This window comes from Homo sapiens, chromosome 12 (assembly GCF_000001405.40).
Source record: "Homo sapiens chromosome 12, GRCh38.p14 Primary Assembly".
Taxonomy (NCBI): Eukaryota; Metazoa; Chordata; class Mammalia; order Primates; family Hominidae; genus Homo; species Homo sapiens.
Window position 1 is genome coordinate 78,976,849 of NC_000012.12, and position 13,763 is coordinate 78,990,611.

Sequence of the window (13,763 nt, forward strand, 5' to 3'; positions counted from 1 at the left end):
AGGATTCAGCTGATAACGTGAATTCTGTCTACCTGCGTTTTTATATTTGTGAAAGAATTATGCTACTTTATAACTCAGTTTTTTAGAGTTTCTATATTCTAAAATTATTACTTTCAACCATCAAATATAAGATAGTAGAAATATGGGGCAAAATTTTTTGCAGTTTTATATCAAAAAAGTAGATGAATGCAATAGGGAGTGCATTAAAGAGAACAGAAAAAAATTTTAAAAGAAAGAATGGGGAAAAAAGAAGAGAAAAAAATGTAAAAGAAAGGCGAAGGAAGGGAACCCGAAAGGGCAAAGAAAGTGAGGAAGGAAGGGAATATTGAAGTATTTGATAGAGCTTCCCTACCACCCAGATGCTTTAGTATGTGCAGTATTTCAAAGTTCTTCCTAGGTAAATAGCAATGTCTTTCCTTTTTATTAGCACTGCTGCAGCTGCTGTTGCTCACAAAGAGATTCACAAATCAAAATAGACTCAGTTAGCTTTTCAATAATTCTGAAAAGGTAGGAGAACATTGCCAGAAAAGGATAGCACTCCAGTATCCTAACATAGAGTCTTGTTAGCAAAACAAAGTGTGAATTGCTTAGATAATTCCCTGCTGTTGGTAATTCCACTGGGTGTCTTCTGTGGCAGCACAGGCTACTTCTCCTCTATAGACCAATGCCATTGAACAGAAGATGTCAGAATGATATGAAAAAGTTGCTCTTTTGAAATGTTTGTTCTTCTAGATTTTTTTAAAATGTCAGCATGATTCATACCTATTGGTTCTTAGCCTGGAGCACCCAGCACAACCAGGAATTGAGGAAGCTAGAGCAGGATGTGAATAACGAATGGGCTGCATAAGCAGAAGTCTATACCCAGTCAATAAGCAGAAGTCTATACCCAGTCAGTGTGCAGAGTTGCAGGCTAGCATTTTCACAGATTCTATTATTCTCTCTCTCTCAAGGGAAAACGGGAAAACTAGCAAGAGCTAGCAAGAACTAGCAAGAGCTTGAACAAACGCCTGGACTCAGATTGGAAGACTGCTCATTTGTCTACTGCCTCATTCCTGGAAATTGCACTGGAACTGTCTGATTAAGGTATTTGGAAAAAACAAATTTTTGACACATTTTGTTGATGATCAACCTCCTTTATCCATCCATATCTTTTTATATGTGGCGGCGGGGCCGGCGGAGGGAAGGGTAGTATTTGTGCTGAAGATTGAAGAACTGTATCTCTTTAAAAATTCTTGTGATATTAAGGGGAAATTAGTGTTTGTCACATATTCTGAAATTATTACTATTATTAATGTTTTTGAAATGCTGTTTTCGTTGGTGGGGCACTGGCTCCTTGTATAACATGTTTGCTTTCTCCCACTGTCATTTTGTACTCTATCAAATCCAAAGTTGTCATGGTTCATTATCTGTAGATGATCTTGAGCAGTCTTGCATTCTAAAAGAATATGCCATGGCATCTGCCTCTGTGCTTTTGTGGCCTGCTGCACAGATGATATTTTAGCACGAGTATTGGGTGAGGGGTTAGAGGGGAGAGCAGAATTTGTCTCAGACTGATGTTTCCTTGTACCATGCTGTGTCTCATTCTTTCATATATGGCTAATTCAACAGTGAAGTACATATATCACACTGTGACTATTACATATGTTAGAGTACATAATTTGGGTTGTAAAGTATCTGTTTGTCTTAACTAATGAATTCCATCAAATTCAATTACCATTCTTCATTAACCAATCAAATTACTCCTTTGGTCTAAGTCATTTCTAACACACTTTTATTAGGCATACACACAATTCTATGAAGTAAACGTGAGGTGATTAGATTATCTCATGATCTTTATTTGGAGTCCCATGCTACAGAAGTTTGGATTTCTAAAGAATAGCCTTTCACATTACTTCCACTGTATACAGGAGAAATAGTGTTACAGTGTGAAGCTCTGTCTTTAAGACTCTGTTTTACTACTTCTATCTTAGACTTTCTTTTCCCTGAGGAAGTTTGCTACAGTGGATCGCCAATACAAAAATACATAGAAATACACCAACTATATATTCCTATAAAATTAACCTATTTATTAAGTAAATGTACCTATACGCTTATGCGATACTGGATCATAATATTTTTCACCTTTTAGGAATAAATTATTTCAGTACTAGAACTTTCTCCTATCTCTTGCAGTAAGATACCACAGTGTAGGATCACAGTTGTTATTGTTGAAACACTTTTTTCAAATTATCATTATTTCTTTACATGGATTTCTTTTTAAACAAAGTGGTTCTGGAAATGCATATACCCAGTATTGATAGTACTTCAGTTTTCTAGGAAATAATTGCCACAGTACTAATTTACATTGGATATTTTAATCATTTTACAATGAAGGGCAGGTGCCTAATGTCCTTGCAGTATGATTCTTACCATACAGATCTTAAAATATTTCCATTTTGTTCTCTTCTACATTAATGTCTTTTAGGAACATTTTCATCTTCTTTCCTACAACTATTTTGAGAAACATCTCAAAATGTGGTCTAAAGCCAACCTACAAAAATACATGTTCTGAGTTCCATGCCAGACTTAAGTCAGAATCTTTGGGAGTAGGCCCTAGGACCAGCATTTAAAATATACATATTAGGTGATTATAATGTAATCCAAAGTGAAATAACCACTGCTCTACAAAATGAGAGCAAGGAAACAACTGACAGAAAAGCATTGTAAAACTAGATGTATAACTGATATGAAAAATAAAAACACCACAATCAAGTTAAATTTGAATTTTAATTTTTTTCTACATGTTTTCATTACTTGGCTGCAAAAAGCATTCTAGGTTGTTTATTTCACCTTTAATATGAGTTTTAAATATCTTAAATTAAAATTTTAATATTTAGTGTTAATTAAGGATATGGATGTCTGTTATTTAAAAGCTTTTTCCAAGTTGCCAAACAATGAATGATAGTTATAATGGTAAAAGGTATTAAATTTATAATTTGTATCATTCATTAGTATTTTCATATTTGAATCTTTAGTTTTACAAAGCTTTGTAAATAACAAGTCTATCTTTAATATTTTATATATCTAATAAACAACACTTTTTAAAGAATTTCAACCGATCTTTTTGTTAAGGTTTCCATTTAAATGAATTACGTGAGTGTCTTACTTTCAGAAGATACTTTATTAATACAACTAAATTGAATTCTTTGGGCTGAGATTTTTCCATTTTTTCATAAATGAATATTTCCATATTATCTAATCTTAATAAGAATATTTTCTCAGTGCGGCAAGTAAGACATGTTTGCCAATTTAATATACCAAACTCTAAAGTAAGTATACACTCAAATGAGAGTTAGGGGACAAAGAACTGTCTTCTGAACCATGAAAAGACGGAATGTCGTGATTACCTCAGGCACTGAAAGACAGCAAAAATCTACATTAGTTCTAGTAGAAAGACTACAGAGAATGTTTGACCCATAAAATTAATTTTTGCTTCCTACATAGCCGACTCCATGGAGACAAGGTCTAAAAAGGGAAAATGGTCGAAATCTTAGGTTTGTAGGTTAACTTACTTTGTAAACTAGATATGTCCTGAAAAGACTGGAATAATTTAAATTGTTTCTGCGTTCATAAGAATCATTTTATGTATCAAAAATTCTTTTGTTTTCAGCTAGTTTTGAAGATTGTATTTAGATTATGGACAGACTACTTTAATTGGGTTGTGTTTCAAAAGTTTCATTATGAAGTTAAATATTTGGGACTCAAAACTTATTTTCAAATATAAAGAATGCTATAAATGCTGTTTCATGCCCAGATTCAATTTTATGAAATCCACAACATTATAGTAAAATTACATAAGTTATAAAACTAGAAATTGAAGGGAAGAATCATTGAAAACAATACTATATGATCGTCAAAATTAAGCCAATTAGACAAAAAATATTACATTATATATTTACTTTGAATATAAATGCTAAAGGAAAGTAAATTTGCTTATAAATAAATGAGAAATTAAAAGAGGGGGTAGAATATTTTTCTAAAACACAGAGAGAGTGGGGTTATAGCATGAACAGTATTCTCCTGAGCCAGGGGGGAGAGGGAGATGGAGGGGAGAGATGCTGGGTAGATTTAGAGAATGAAAGGCAAAAGGATCTCAAGTATGAGTGGCCAACAGCATTGAACTAGCTATTAAAAAGAAAATTTGCTCATAAATGGTAGGCTTATAATCCAGAAGAACAGGTGTATTCAATGGTTTGTTTGTTTTTGTGTTTTTTGTTGTTGTTTTGTTTGTTTCTTTGTTTTTTTTTTTTTTTTTTTGAGACGGAGTTTTGCTCATGTTGCGCAGGCTGGAGTGCAATGGCATGATCCTGGCTCACTGCAACCTCCAACTCCCAGGTTCAAATGATTCTCCTGCCTCAGCCTCCTGAGTAGCTGGGATTACAGGCGTGAGCCACCACACCCAGCTAATTTTGTACTTTTAGTAGAGATGGGGTTTCTCCATGTTGGCCAGGCTGGTCAAAAACTCCTGACCTCAGGTGATCCACCACCTTGGCCTCCCAAAGTTCTGAGATTACAGGTGAGAGCCACCATGAGCAGCCTTAATTCTTTTAAAATGAATAGGTAACTATGTTGTTACATATCCATTTAGAAAGCAGCTGTGTAGAGGAAATGGTAAGGAGAGATAGTGGGCGAGCATGCATGCTAACTCAGTGAGTGCCAACTAATGGAGTGAAGGGAGAACTAATGAATCTTTGGCCTTCTACTAATGGCTTTATCTCTGAGTGGATTAACTCCTTACTCTTTATTGAGTTCCACTTTCTAAGGAATTCTACCCTTTGTTTCTTTCTGAAAATTCAGCATCAAGTGAACCAAATTTACCAATTTGCTGCCTTTGTGTGCACAGTTGTTCATTTAATTTATGAAATAGTTATTGAATACCTACTATGTAGTCAGCACTATGCAAATTTTGTTACTTTTAGCCCAGACATTAGGACACAAAGAATATTTTGTTGTATTTGAATTTTAGTATTTTGTATTTTACCATTTCTCATTTATTTTCTGTTTCTTAAATTTGGATAGTTGAAGGGAACAGGTGGCATCCATGCCTAGGGATGGAGGGCTAGGAGTGTGGATAACCCAGAGAAGAAGGTGCAAAAAAAGGAGGTATCTGTCTTGTTCCTCTATTCTGCTGATTTTAAGGAGGTCTTAGCAGCCCTAAGCAGAGCCCCCATCACTTCCATTTAACCTTAAAAACAATTTTTAGAGATGGAAAAAATAGAACTATTTGCTCATGATAAAAATTCTACATTCAAAGTGAAGAAAAACTACTACATTCAAATTGAAGACCTGCAGTATATAGCTCTTTTTGAGCTGATATATCTCATTACTAGGCTAATCTATGGTATAAGAAGCAAGAAGTTAGAAAGGCATCCTGGAAAAATGGCCCATAATTCTTCATCAACTGTAATTTTCAGTGAAATAAAAGTCTAAATCTCCATTACTAGTTAGTTTGAAGTACAGAAGGTCATCATGTAAGTTTCTAAAATCCCTTTTAACTCTAGAAATTCTACTGGAGAGACAGGTGAATAAGATTGGGAAAAAATAATTGTTCATCTTTCATTGAAGAAAGTTATTTAGAGGAATTTTTCAATATCAAGCACCCCTCCTTTCCGTTCCATTTTCAAGAAACAAGAGCAAAGGATGAGTTTTGGCAACATTCCAAGAAGTGTCTTAGGGCAGAAATGGTCAATGCCTGTGTTGAGTTACCTGAATCTCTATTTGGCAGCTTCTGAAAGCTACTATAAAAACCTGGGCTTAAGAAGAGGATGATGGTATGGTCTCGCAGCCTTGTGTGAATTTTCTAAACGGTTTTGTTACCCCAAAGCATAGAAGTGATACCTCAAAATTTATAACTGATGCTATATCATAGTTATACTCACATATAAACTTGCTTGATAATATTTCCTACAGTTGAGTTTCCAATCAATCTATTTTTATCTCCTACACTTCCCTGATCCAACAAATCTTATCCATCATGCAGCCTGAGTTCATACCTTTGTTTCTTCAATGTTTTTATTAAACATCTACAATGTCAGTTATTCTTCAAACCTTCTTGTACAGGCCCCTGTCCTCATGGAGACTACCTTCTAGTAGAGAGGTAGACTATTAACAAGGAACAAATATATAAATAATAAGACCCACCAAAATCTTGTTTATTCACTAACTTTAATCGTATTTTTGTCTAAATTTTCTTCTTCCAAGTTTTTTTTTTTCAGTCAGTAATCCTACTCTTCATTTTAGCCTACTTGATTCTTACTGTTTTCAACATTGCCCTCAAATTAATATAATCCACTATTTTAACTCTTTTAAGATTTTCCATCATCTTAAGTGGAAGGAACAAATAAATTCATAAATTTACATATTAGATAAGATGAATTGCCGGAGAAATTTGATCCGTATAGCCAGATGTAAGTAATACCAGAGTGGCTCCAATGTGGCCATTATGGAATCAAATACCTCACAGCCCAGGCCTCAAAGGCATCTTTTCTTATCATGAGATTTTTCTTAATTACATTTTCCAGTGATTAAGTGTCCCATTTCTACACATTGGAATGCATTTTCTATATTAAGTTGTCAATGATCATAAACTATCTGTCAAGAACTTATTCCAATTATCCTAACAACCTCCTCTAGGATCCCTAGCTTAACCATTCTACATTTACTATATGTACTTGGCACAAAGATGGTATAAAGGTTTAGCCCTAAATTGTTTATAAATTTTTCACACTATTCCAGGATATTAGAACAGGATAGTCATTTACTTGTGTACACATATAAATGTCTGAATACACATCTTGAAAATGCAATAGGTTACATCTGATGATGGTTCAAGAAGAACTAAAAGGATAATCTTAAGGGAACATAAAAATTTCGTGTTTGAAGTTACTGCTAAGAAGAATAGCAATGTAAGAGTTCAGATAACTGCAAAAGTAAAGAATCAAGGCAGTGTAAAGTTTCTATAACTTAGGGAACTTAACTAGCTGTTAAAAGGGCACCTCTCTGACAGCATTAACATTTCAAAAATTTGATACATAAAGATGTGCCAGTACAAAGTTTGGTCCTTAGCAATAATCAATTAATGATACTGTCCTTTTCATTCAGTGAATCCAAGAATAATAGTTTTCAGACCTAAATATTTACAACCACAGTTTCATCAAAATACAGAGAATATATATTGTATCAAGTGTGCCTTTATCTAGGGCAAATCTTAATAGCGTCTAGATTCAGACCAACCACCAAGACAAATTGCCAAGAGAATTATTAAGAAATTTGTATAAATCCCTTTATTACATCTTAGATTTTAAAACTTCTCAAAACAATTACAGCCCTTACATACCTGTGATGGTTTTTAATTCCCTGGACAATTTATCAAGAAATTAAAAATTCAGAGCACCCTAGCAACACAGTGGTATATTTACCATTGCAGTATGCCAGTTTTGTTTATTTTTTATGGCACAAATACCACAATGTATTTTATTTATTAATCTATTGGCTGAAGTATAATATGCCAACAGAAAAGTGAATAAAACATGCATTTTATATAGCATTATGAGATTTTTTCTCTTGCTTTTTGGTCATTGATCTTGTAAATTGTTATTTTTTAGTTATTATGATGAGGATTTAATATCCAGAATATATTAAGAAATCCTACAACTCAACAACAAAAACCTAATGTGTCTATTTACAAATAAAAATTACAAATTAGTTTAGATAATTACAAATTAGAAAACAATGAAGAATAGAATTTAATTGAATGGAAAATAAATGTTTATATTCATGGAAGAAACACACATAAAGATGAATTATAATTTGCTATCAAATATACAGAAAATTAGATGGAGTTTTTGGTTCACAATAGCTGACAAGTTGACAATATGCTTATGTTAAAAATAAACATTATTCTAAGGTATTTAAATAGAAACATAACAAAAATAATCCTGGGTACGGTCACTTCGTTAGAGACTTGGGCTCAAATTTAGGTCCCACAATAGAAAAAGAATTAACAGGAAGGTGGAAAGAGCAACAAAACCGCAGTTATTTGTAGTTTGCGACATAATCTTGTAAGAAAATAAGTTCAAGATGCTAAAGAGAGAAAAAAGAAAGATGCATCAAGTGTGGATTTAAAGTAAATATATACCATTACAAGACACATTGTATACCGAGAACCAAAAAGAAACTTACTGAAATTGTAGGAAAGAACAACGAATGACATAATGCAATATTCTGAGAAGAGAATGTTGAAATTTATTCTTGATTTTTTTTAAAAGACAGCTATTTATCTTTTGTGAAAAATCATAATACAGTTCTGTTTAACAATGAAGAACTATTCCACTGTATTACCTCCCAATTCTCACATATTTATACATAAGTATTAAAACTATACGTAGTATAATAAACCTAAATTTCTGAAATATGAACACTATCACAATTTTCTAGGTGATAAGTTATTATACGATTTTGTTATTTAACTGTAAGCAAGGGAGAATCTAAGAAAGAAGAATATATTCTTTCTAAAATAACTCCCCTTCAAGATGGCAGCTGAATACATAGAATAATCAGACTAATCATTTGGGGTTAGTGGTTGTTTTTATGTTACATAGAAGGAGAAATGACCACTATCTGATGGCATCCAAGAAAGTGCCTCTCTGGGGACAGAATTGTCACCCTGATCACCATTGCTCATGAACCCCCTTCATGTTAATGGGCACATTCCAAGTAGAAGACGTGATAACAAATTCTTTATGTTCTTTTAGGACTGTTAATTCTAAAAATTTTGGGACTTATTATATAGTGCTGGTTAATTCTGAGTATAAATGTAAGGAAATTCTGTTTCATAATTTAGTGTCTAGAATAGGACTTTATAAATTGGTTTATGATCAGTGTGCTTCAAGTTTATTTTGGGTACCAAATGTTCCCTTTATTTAATCTATTTAAATCAACAAAAGAAGCAATTTCAAACGGTATTCATCCAATAAACTGTAGTTAGGAAAATGTTCATTAATCTATTTTTATTTACCAACAACTTTGTCATTTTCTTTCGAAAAGCACTTTGAAGGAGGGAAAAATAAAAACAGAAGGAAAGAGAAATTATATACCACTATAAAAATTATATGCAGTTTTGCCTGCTTTTTATGTAACCTAGTATTCAAAACTTAACTGGTTTTATCAGATTCCATTATGTTATGAACACACAGGCCAGTATTTCCCCACCAGTTTCTTCTAACTAGGAAGTACATTCAAACGGAAAATCTAAGTTTGTGTTTTTCTACTGAAAGAAATGTCGCTGGTGAATAGCGAAGATGATTTATGTGCATAAAGCTGACCTTATAAAAATAATCTCTGTGTTCATCATAATTTTATTGCTATGTAACATTTGTTCCATTTTCTTTTTGTATATCTCTGATAAACCATTAGTTTGTAGATCTCTGATGCCTTAGAACATATGACAGTTTAAAAATATCTATTGTGTTTTTCCCCAAATTATTTTATTAGTCAGTAGTTTTTTTTGATGAAACAGTGACATCAATTTCTTTCATGGTTACAATTTTTGCAGTGTTTTAGCTAACATATTTTACTAACTGAAAATTATCCTTGCCTTTTATTTACACTTCAGAAGTTAAAAATAAATATATTTATTAATTAACAATTATATCTCCAAAACAAAGTAACGATTATTTGGTTTCTAATGCTAGCAGTTCTTGTTTATATTTAATGAAAATCGCATTTCTCCTGACAGGGGAAAAATATTTTTCCACATTAAGAAAGGCTTTTCATTCATGTCCTGAAACTACATATTTTTGTTCTGGAATATAAATCATCTATTTATTTGATATGTATGTTGAAATTTAGTTTGTGAAACAGAATATATATCTATTTGTATGTCTCTCTATAATAGAATTATGGACTGTGATGAGTTGTTCTCCATATACATGAAGGATTAGATACATATCTTTCTTCTTTCCAAAAATGCCATCAGCATTGTCAGTCTCAGAAAACAGGTGGAAAATTGCCTCAGTGTTTCTGATATCTCTTATTAAAGATAGTTACGATGCAGAACTGAAAAATACTAAAGTTTTATGAAGCATCACCATGAAATAATAAAACTTTCCTTTAATAAAGGGCTCATATCCAATAAAGGGCTTATATCTGAATGAATATTGTCGTTCACTATGGTCACCTTAAATTTCAGATGCTTCCATCGTTCAAAATATTCTGCTGTTTGTTTGCAACTTTTAGAGCCAGTTTATGCACCAGGAAGCAGTCTTTGACAAACACCACTGTGAAGGCATTATATCATTATGATCAGTACAAATGAGGAGGCACCCTTTCTAAGCATGAGGAACATTTCTTTTAATGAGTCTGTGCCCTCTCCAAAGGAAATATGCATTCATCAAGTACACTTTAATTCAAAATGGTGTGTGTTTTCTAGACAAAAAGATACATCTCTCATAAAGGAGAAGTACTCTGAGGCTGATGGGCTCATGAGGTCACATGTTGGCTAAAAGACCTCGCAGGCTATGCCCAGAACATTAGTTAGACCTTTTCAAGATGTGGGGGAAAAAAAGACACATAAAGTTTCAGGCTGAATCAAAAAGACTATTTTTTTACTCAGCTCTTGTTATATTTTATAGTTACATCCTTATCCCAGACAGGATATAAGGTCCTTTCAAGAACCCATGAGGCTACACATGACCTTCCCCTGCTACCTCTCTTTACTGGAATATGAAACCTTACTTGAGCCTACAGTACTCTGCATACATAGTTACCATTTGCTATTTACTTTACATTAGGGATATATAAAAAAACCCTAAAAAGCCAGCCTATACCAAGCTCAGATGGGCTTACTAGTGAATTTTACTCAACATTTAAAGAAGAGATATTACTAGTTCCCTACAATCTCTTCCGGAAGATAGAAGCAGAGGGAATACATCCTAACTCATTCTGTGAGGACAGAATTACATGAATATCAAAACTAGACAAAGGTAATACAAGAAAAGAATACTATAGACCAGTATCTCTCATGAATATAGAGGCAAAACTCCTCAACAAAAGCCAGCCCATAAACCATCCTGTCAGGTGAAAAGGTAATGGAACTGTGGAGGGATGTTCTGCTTTCCATTACAAACCATTTATTCATTCAACCAATATTTACTTCTGTGAGGTTGATTCTACGTGGTCAAGAAATCAAACCTGTCATCTCTCTCATTCAGTCAGTCACTTATTAATTCACTCACTGAACAAATTTTTTTTTTCAAAATGTACAATGCGTTAGGCATTATACCTGGTGCTGGGGGATACAATAGTGAGCAAAATAGGCCAAATCCTTGCCATCATGGTTTTTACATTATATTGGAGAAACAGACAATAAATGAGATATTAAACAAATAAACAATAAACAACATAAATATATCTATGTTATATACTATGTTATCTTTATATCAATAAATCAAGATACATAGATATCTTGTTTATTATCTATTTCTCCAATATAATGTAAGATATATAGTAAGATTTATATTATATATAATAAATATTATATATATATATAAAATGTAAAGTATGCTAAAGATATATGCCAAGAAGAAAACAAGAACTTAACATGTACATACGGTGAAATTTACATAGATTGTTCAGAGATGGCCTCATTGAGAAAATGACTTTGTGTAAAATCCCAAAGGCAATGAAGAAAAGCATCTTGATAATGTTTCCTGGAAGAGCATTGCAGACATAAAGAACAAGACACAACAACAGAGGCTGGTGTAGAGTGAGTGAGGAAATATACTTGGAGATGTGAAGTCAGAGATTTAGATGGAAATCAAATCATGCAGAGCCTTGTGAGAAATGACATGGAGTTGTGATTTTTGGCCAAATGTAATGAACAGCCATTGGAGGGTTTTCAATAGGAAAATGCTGTAAAATGATTGACTATTATACAAAATTTATTCCAGTTTCTGTATAGAAGACAATATTTAGATATCAAGAGTGCAGGCAGATAGAACAATAGAAGTTATTGCAGTATTCCAGGTGAGGCAGCTACCAGAGTTGGTAATTTTGATTAGGCTTATGGCTGTACACTACTGAGAAATTAATAGACTTGAGATATGTTTTTAAAGTAGAACCTATATGACTTGTTGATGAATTGAATATGGAAAATAAGAGAGAAGGAATCATCAAAATAATTACCCTAGAGATTTCCTTGAACACTTTGGTGAAGCCATTTATTCTGATGGGGAAGACTCCAACAGAAACGGGTAGGGGAGGAGAAAACAAATTTTGTTTTTATATGTTAGGTTTGAGGTCATCTTTGGACTTCTAAGAGAAGCCAGTTAGGCAGTTAAAATATAGGAGGCTGGACCTCAGGGAAAAAGACTGGAATGAAGATATCAAATTAGGATTTGTATGAAGTAAGATACTCTCAATAGCAAATTAAAGAATACCTTACTAAAATTTACTTAAATATTATTAATATTTGTTATGTCACTTTATTATATCTGTTTATTAAATCCAACTCTAGAGAGTACCAAGGTTTATTCAGTAGATTATTGATATGAAAACCCTGGGTCAGCCTCTCTGGGAGTCTCAGGGCCTAGCCCCCCCGTTCCCAGACTTTGTGCAGCATCTCAAGCATCATATCCTCCCATGGCAACAGAGAAGGCAGAGTCACTGTAAGGAGAACATGCAGGAGAAAGGGATTCTTTTTAAAGTTAGCTCTCTTATCTGATTGGGGAGAAGAGAGAAAATATCTTCCAGAAAACTACCAATGGATTTCCCTAATGTCTTCCTCCAGAGCTACAGCAAATGCCCATCCCTATACCATCCTTTGCAAAAGGGAAGTGTATTGTCTAAAATTGAGAGGACAAGTATGAGTTATTACTTGTGACTCAGGTTCCATCATCAAAGAAAAAACTAGGACATGTTGGGAAGGTAACCTTCCATGTCTGCTACAGGAGACATTCTCTTACAGATTTTATTTAAAATCAGGACCAGATGATGTCCCCAAAAATACACCCACTGTGCACTCAAGATATCTTCATCCTCTCTGTATAAAACTCTATGTGGCTACTGGAAGAAACAGATTATATCAGCCTGATAAGGGGATAGACAGACCTGTTGAATCATAAATAGAACAAGCAGAAATAATAGAAGAGCTTAGAACATTCACAGGAAAGTAGAAGAAACTGGATTTTGGAAAATAAGTTTCTGGGTTTTTGTACCACAATTGAGGGATTGTGGGTGGTATTTGAACATGAGCTAGTGCACCTGAATGTCTTAGATGCCTGTGAATGCTGCCATTCACCAGCAGCCTCTGTGAGAGGGCTTAATGGGTATTAATTGTTCATTTGTTTCTGAGACTCTCCGATATACCAACCAGGTGCTGTGCCTGGAGCAAATAAAAAGCAGGCCTCTATCCTCAAAAAGTTCATAATTTCTGATGGTGATCTAGGTAAATTAGTAATATATTAAATATTTTTGCCATAACTCTCCTATTATTGTAACTTTTTCTGACTTTAAAAACTATAACCCAAGCAATCTATTGACATTTAAACCATGACTATCTGGTTTACACTGTCTTTCCAGACATTTACTTTGTTCTATTTGTTCTATTATAGAAAAGACAATGCGAGTTGATATCTACATGTGTTTTTAAGTACAAATTCTTATCTGTGTCTGCCATATCACACGGTATTGTGAGAAGTCCAAAATTTAGGTTCTTTCTTAAATTT

The 13,763-nt window shown here is 33.4% G+C and overlaps 1 protein-coding gene and 1 long non-coding RNA gene across 16 annotated transcripts in view; one reads left to right on the plus strand and one right to left on the minus strand.

The window, feature by feature from the left end:
• The window catches only part of SYT1 (synaptotagmin 1), a 588,027-nt gene that overhangs the window by 112,867 nt on the left and 461,397 nt on the right, over positions 1-13,763 (plus strand). For all 14 annotated transcript variants that reach the window (NM_001135805.2, NM_001415940.1, NM_001415943.1 and 11 more), the window contains one exon: positions 951-1,083. The gene's annotated coding sequence lies outside the window, so the exon portion shown is untranslated. The remainder of the gene's footprint in view (positions 1-950; positions 1,084-13,763) is intronic.
• Positions 1-13,763, minus strand: part of LOC105369863 (uncharacterized) — a 197,856-nt gene that overhangs the window by 71,825 nt on the left and 112,268 nt on the right. The window lies entirely within an intron of this gene.